Genomic DNA, 7,159 nt, shown 5'->3' with positions numbered 1-7,159 from the left:
AATAAGGACAATCTTCACATAAGAACTAGACAGAAGCTTTCTGGGAAACTCCCTTGTGATGGATGTTTTCATCTCACAGATTTGAAACTTTGTTTTGATTGAGCAGTTTGGAAATAGTGTTTGTGTAGAATCTCCCAATGGACATTTGGAGCTCTTTGAGTCCCATGGTGAAAAAGAAAATATCTCGGAAAAAAAAAAAAAAAAACTAGACAGAAGCATTCTGCAGAACTTCTTTCTGATGTGTGCATTTATCTCCTAGAGTTGACACTTTCTTTAAATTGAGAAGTTTAGAAAGAGTCTTTTCGTAGATTCTGCAAAGGGATATTTGGAGTGCCGTGGGGCCTGTGATGAATAAGGAAATACCTTCACATAAAAAGTACACACAAGGTTTCTGATAATCTTATTTGGGATATGTACACTCATCTCATGGAGGTGGAACTTTCTTTAGATTGGTCAGTTTGGAAACAGTCTTTTTGTAGAATATGCAAAGGGATATTTGTGAGCTCTTTGATGCCTATGGTGGAAAAGGAAATATCCTCACATAAAAACTAGACAGAAGCTTTCTGAGAAACTTCTTTGTGATGTGTGCTGTCATCTCACAGACTTGAACATTTCCTTTTATTGATCAGTTTGGAAACAGCCTTTTTGAGGATCTGCAAAGTGATATTTTGAGCAATTTTTGGCCTATGGTGTTAAAGGAAATATCTTCAAATAAACACTAGAAAGAAGCTTTCTGAGAAATTTCTTTGTGATGTGTGCATTCATCTCAAAGAGTTGAAAATTTCCTTTCTTAAGCAGTTTGGAAATAGTCTTTTTGTAGAATCTGCCAAGGGATATTTTGAGTACTTTGAGGCCTATGGTGAAAAAGGAAATATCTTCACGTAAAAACTAAACAAAAGATTTCTGAGAAACTTCTTTGTGATGTGTGCATTGATCTCACAGAGTTGAACCTTTCTTTGATTGAGCAGTTTGGAAACAGTTTTTGTAGAATCTTCAAAGGGATATTTGTGACCCCGTTGAGACCTATCATGTAATAGGAAATAGTTTCACATAAAAACTAGAAAGAAGCATTCTGAGAATCTTCTTTGTGATGTGTGCTTTCATTTCACAGAGTTGAACCTTTCTTTCGAGTGAGCAGTTTTGAAACAGTCTTTTTGTAGGATCTGCAAATGGATATTTGGAGTGCTTTGAGGTCTATGGTGAAAATGGAAATATCTTCACATAAAAACTAAACAGAAGATTTCTGAGAAACTTCTTTGTGATGTGTGCATTCATCTCACAGAGTTGAACCTTTCTTTGATTGAGCAGGATGGAAACAGTTTTTTGTAGAATCTTCAAAGGGATATTAGTGACCCCGTTGAGGCCTATGATGTAATAGGAAATATCTTCACATAAAAACTGGAAAGAAGCATTCTGAGAATCTTCTTTGTGATGTGTGCTTTAATTTCACAGATTTGAACCTTTCTTTTGAGTGAGCAGTTTGGAAACAGTCTTTTTGTAGAATCTGCAAATGGATATTTGGAGTGCTTTGAGGCCTATGGTGAAAATGGAAATATCTTTACATGAAAACTAGACAGAATCTTCTGAGGAACTTATTTGTGATATGTGCATTCATCTCAGAGATTTGAACCTTTCTTTTCATTGAGCAGTTTTTAAACAGTGTTTTTATAGATTCTCCAAAGGGATGTTTGGAGGGCTTTGGGGCCTGTGGTGAATAGGGAAATATTTTCACATAAAAAGTAGACAGAAGCTTTCTGAGAAACTACTTTATGATATGTGCATTCATCTGACAGAGTTGAAGCTTTCTTTTGATTGAGTAGTGTGGAGACAGTCTTTTTGTAGTATCTGCAAATGGATATTTGGGGAGCTTTGAGGCCTATGGTGAAAAAGGAAATATCTTCACATAAAAACTAGCCAGAAGCTTTCTGAGAAACTTCTTTGTGATGTGTGCCTTCATCTCACAGAGTTTAGCCTTTCTTTTGATTGAGCCATTTTGAAACCATCTTTTTGTAGAATCTGCCAAGGAATACTTGGAGCACTTTGAGGCCTATGGTGAACAATAAATATCTTGAAATAAAAACTAGACAGAAGCATTCTGTGAAACTCCTTTGTGATGTGTGCTTTTGTCTCAGAGAGTTGAACCTTTCTATTGATAGAGCAGTTTGGAAACAGTCTTTTTGTAGCACCTGGAAAGGGATATTTGGGATATTTTGAGGCCTATGGTGAAATAGGAAATATCTACACATAAAAACTAGACAGTTTTTCAGAAATTTCTTTGCGATGTTTGCATTCAACTCATAGAGTTGAAACTTACTTTTCATTGAGCAGTTTGGAAACAGGCTTTTTGTTACAATCTGCAAAGGGTGTTTCTGAGCCATTTGAGGGCAGTGGTGAAAAAGAAATATCTTCACATAAAAGCTAGACAAAAGCTTTCTGAGAAACTTCTTTGTGATGTGTGCATTCACCTCACATAGTTGCATCTTTCCTTTCATTGAGCAGTTGGTAAACAGTCTTTTTGTAGAATCTGCAGAGGTATATTTGGGAGCCCTTTCAGGCCCATGGTGTATTAGGAAATATCTTGACATAAAAACACACAGAAGTTTTCTGAGAAACTTCTTTGTGATGTGTGCTTTCATCTCCCAGGGTTGAGCCTTTCTTTTGATTGAGAAGTTTGGAAACAGTCATTTGCAGAATCTGCAAATAGATATTTGGAGTGCTTTGAGGCCTATGGTGAAAAAGAAAATATCTTCATATAAAAACTAGACAGAAGCTTTGTGAGAAAGTTCTTCATGATGTGTGCATTCATCTCACAGAGTTGAACATTTCTTTTGATTGAGTAGTTTGGAAACAGTCTTTTTGTAGAATGTGCAGAGGGATATCTTTGAGCGGTTTGAGGCCTATGATAAAGGAAACATCTTCACATAAAAACTAGACAGAATCTTCTTGAGAAACTTTTTGTGATATTTTCATTAATCTCACAGTGTTGAACCTTTCTTTTCATTCAGCCATTTGGAAACAGTCTTTTTGTAGAATCTGCAGAGGGATAATTTTCAGCCCATTGAGGCATATGGTGAAATACGAAATATCTTCACATAAAAAATAGACAGAAACTTTCTGAGAAACTTCCTTGTTATATGTGCTTTCATCTCATAGAGACAAAGCTTTCTTTTGATTGACAGTTTGGAAACAGTGCATTTGAAAAATTTTCAAATGGATAATTGTAGCGTTTTGAGGAATATGCTGAAAAAAGAAATATCTTCACATAAAAACTAGACAGAAGCTTCCTGAAAAACTTCTTCTTGATGTGTGGATTCATCTCACATAGTTGAACCTTTCTTTTGATTGAGCAGTTTGGAAAAGTTCTTTTTGGAGAAGCTGTAAAGATATATTTGTGAACGAGTTGAGACCTATGGGGAAATGGAAATATCTTCACATAAAAACTAGGCAGAAGCTTTCTGAGAAACTTCTTTGTGATGCGTGACTTCATCTCACAGAGTTGAAAATTTCTTTTGATTGAGCAGTTTTGAAACACTCTTTTTGTAGAATCTGCCAAGGGATATTTGGAGCACTATGAGGTGTATGGTGAAAAATATATATCTTCAAATAAAAACTAGATAGAAGCATTCTGAGAAACTTCTTTTTGATGTCTGCTTTCATCTCATAGAGTTGAACATTTCTTTTTGATAGAGCAATTTGGAAACATTGCATTCTGAGTAAATTCTTTGTTATGTGTGCTTTCATCTCACAGAGTTGAAATTTTCTTTTGATTGAGCAGTTTGGAAACAGTCTTTTTGTAGAATGTTCAAAGGGATAATTGTGAGTCCCTTGAAGCCTATAGTGTAATAAGAAATATCTTGACATCAAAACTGGGCAGATGGTTTCTGAGAAACTACTTTGTGATGTGTCCTTTCGTCTCACATAGTTGAACCTTTCTTTTGATTGAGGAGTATGGAAGCAGTCTTTTTGTACAATCTTCAAAGGGATTTTTTGTGCAGTATGAGGCCTATGGTTAGAAAGTTATATCTTCACATCTAACGAGACAGAACCATTCTGAGAAACTTCTTTGTGACATGTGCATTCATCTCACGGAGTTGAAACTTTATTTTCATTGAGTAGTTTGTAAAAAGTCTTTTTGTAGAAACCGCAAATTGATATTTGGAGTGCCTTGAGTCCTATATCCAAACTGCCCAATCAAAAGAGAAGTTCAACTCTGGGAGATGAAGGCACACATCACAAAGAAGTTTCTCAGAATGCATCTGCCTACGTTTTATGTGAATATATTATCTGTTTCACAATAAGGTTCAATCTACTCACAAATATTCCTCTGCAGATTCTAAAAAAAAGGCTGTTTCCAAAATTCTCAAACAGAGAAGTTCAAATCTGTGAGATGAATGCACACATCACAAATAGATTCTTAGAGAGCTTCTGTCCAGTTTTTATGTGAAGTTATTTCCTTTTTCACCATAGACCTCAAAGTGCTCCAAATATCCATTTGCAGAGTCTACAAAATGACTGTTTCCAAACTGCTCAATCAAAAGAAAGATTCATCTCTCTGAGATGAAATCACACATCACAAAGAAGTTTCTCAGAATGCTTCTGTCAAGTTTTTATGTAAAGATATTTCCTATTTCACAATAGGCCTCAATGGGGTCACAAATATCCCTTTGCAGATTCTAGAAAAACTGTTTCCAAACTGCTCAATCTAAAGAAAGGTTCAACTCCATGAGATGAATTCACACATCACAAAGAAGTTTCTCAAAAAGCGTCTGTCTAATTTTTATGTGAAGATGTTTCCATTTTCACCATATGCCTGAAACCACTGATGAATATCCATCTGCAAATACTAAAAAGAGACAGTTTCCAAACTACTCAATCTAAAGAAAGGTTCGACTCCCTGAGATGAATGCACACATCACAAAGAAGTTTCTCAGAATGTTTCTGTCTAGTTTTTACGTGAAGGTATTTTATTTTTCACCATAGGTGTCAAGGCACACCAAATATCCATTTGCAGATTCTACAAAAAGACTGTTCCCAAATTTCTCAATCAAACGAAAAGTTCAACTCTGTGAGTTGAAAGCACACATCACAAAGCAGTTTCTCAGAATGCTTCTGTCTAGTTTTTATGTGAAGATTCTCCTATTTCACCATAGGCGTCAATGGGGTCAAAAATATCCCTTTGTAGATTCCACAAGAAACTATTTATAAACTGCTCAATCAAAAGAAAGGTTCAACACTGAGATGAATGCACACATCACAAAGAAGTTTCTCAGAGTGCTTCTGTATAGCTTTTATGTGAAGATGTTTCCATTTTCACCATAGACCTCAAACTGCTCACAAATATTACTCTGCAGATTATAAAAAAAGACTGTTTCCAAACTGCTGAATCAAAAGAAAGTTTCAAATCTGTCAGATGAATGCACACATCACAAAGAAGATTATCAGAAATATTCTATTTAGTTTTTATTTGAAGATATTTCCTTTTTCACCACAGGCAGCAAAGCACTCCAAATATCCATTTGCAGATTCTAAAAAAAGGCTGTTTCCAAACTTCTCAATCAAAAGAAACGTTCAACTCTGTGAGATGAATGTGCACATAACAAAGAAGTTTCTCAAAAAATTTCTGTTTAGTTTTAATTTGAATATATTTCCTTTAATATTTCCAATTAAATTGAATATATTTAATTTGAATATATTTAATTTGAATATATTTTCACCATAGGACTCAAAGCACTCCAAATATCCACTTGCAGATTTTTCAAATAGACTGCTTCCAAACTGCTCAATCAAATGAAAGGTTCAACACTGTGAGATGAATGCACACATGACAAAGTAGTTTCTCAAAAAGCTTCTGCCTACATTCTATGTGAAGATATTTCCTTTTTCACCATAGGCCTCAAAGCACTCCAAATATCCATTTGCAGATACTACAAAAAGAGTGTTTCCAAACTGCTTAATCAAAAGAAAGGTTCAACTCTGTTAGATGAACACACACATCAGAAAGAAGTTTCTCAGAATTCTTCCGTCTAGTTTTTATGTGAAGATATTTCCTATTTCACCATAGGCCTAAAAGTGGTCACAAATATCCCTTTGCAGATTCTACGAAAAACTGTTTCCAAAGTGCTGAATCAAAAGAAAGTTTCAATTCTGTGAGATGAACGCACACATCAGAAAGTAGTTTCTCAGAAAGCTTCTGTCTAGTTTTTATCTCAACATATTTCCTTTTTCACTATAGGCTACAAAGGGCTCACAGGTATCATTTGCAGACTCTAAAAACACGTTTACAAACTGTTTAATAAAAAGAAAGTTGAATTCTGTGAGACGAATGCACACATCACAAAGAAGTTTCTCAGAAAGCTTCAGTCTAGTTTTTAAGTGAAGATATTTCCTTTTTCACCATGGGCCTCAGAGGGCTCAAAAATATACCTTTGCAGACTCTATAAAAAGACTGTTTCCAAACTTCTAAATCAAAAGAAAAGTTCAACTATGTGAGATGAATGTGCACATCTCAAAGAAGTTTCTCAGAATGCTCCTGTCTAGTTTTCATGTGAAGATATTTCCTTTTTCACCATAGGCCTGAAACCACTCACAAATATCCCTTTGAAAATTCTACAAAAAGACTGTTTCAAAACTGCTCAATCAAAACAAAGGTTCAACTCTGTGAGATGAATGCACACATCACAAAGAAGTTTTTCAGAAAGATTCTGACTAGTTTTTATTTGAAGATATTTCCTTTTTCACCATAGGATTCAGAGCACTCCACATATCCATTTGTAGATTCTACAAAAAGACTGTTTCCAAACTGATCAATCAAAAGAAAGTTTCAACACTGTGGGATGAATGCCCGCATGACAAAGAAGTTTCTTAGAAAACTTTTATCTATTTTCTATGTGAAGATATTCCCTTTTTCACCATAGGCCCCAAAGTGCTCCAAATATTCATTTGCAGATTCTACAAAATCCTGTTTCCACACTGCTCAATCCAAGGAAGGGTTCCATTCTGTGAGATGAAAGCACACATCACAAAGAATATGCCAGAAAGCTTCTGTCTAATTTTTGTGTGTATATATTTCTTTTTAACTATAGGACACAAAGCGCTCAGAATTATCCCCCTGCAGATTGTACAGAAAGACTGTTTCCAAACTGCTCTATCAAAAGAAAGG

The 7,159-nt window shown here is 35.1% G+C and overlaps 1 annotated feature.

Annotated features, from left to right (window-relative positions):
* Positions 6,337–6,838: an enhancer, noted in NCBI's record as "NANOG hESC enhancer chr16:35201390-35201891 (GRCh37/hg19 assembly coordinates)". NCBI's record gives its function as "activates a minimal SCP1, AML or CMV promoter by ChIP-STARR-seq in primed H9 embryonic stem cells {active_cell/tissue: H9 hESC(primed)}" and the evidence as "EXISTENCE:reporter gene assay evidence [ECO:0000049][PMID:30033119]".

Source organism: Homo sapiens, chromosome 16, assembly GCF_000001405.40.
Source record: "Homo sapiens chromosome 16, GRCh38.p14 Primary Assembly".
In the NCBI taxonomy this organism is placed as follows: Eukaryota; Metazoa; Chordata; class Mammalia; order Primates; family Hominidae; genus Homo; species Homo sapiens.
Note: the sequence above shows the minus strand (reverse complement) of the source record. Positions and strands in the feature narration are given on the sequence as shown.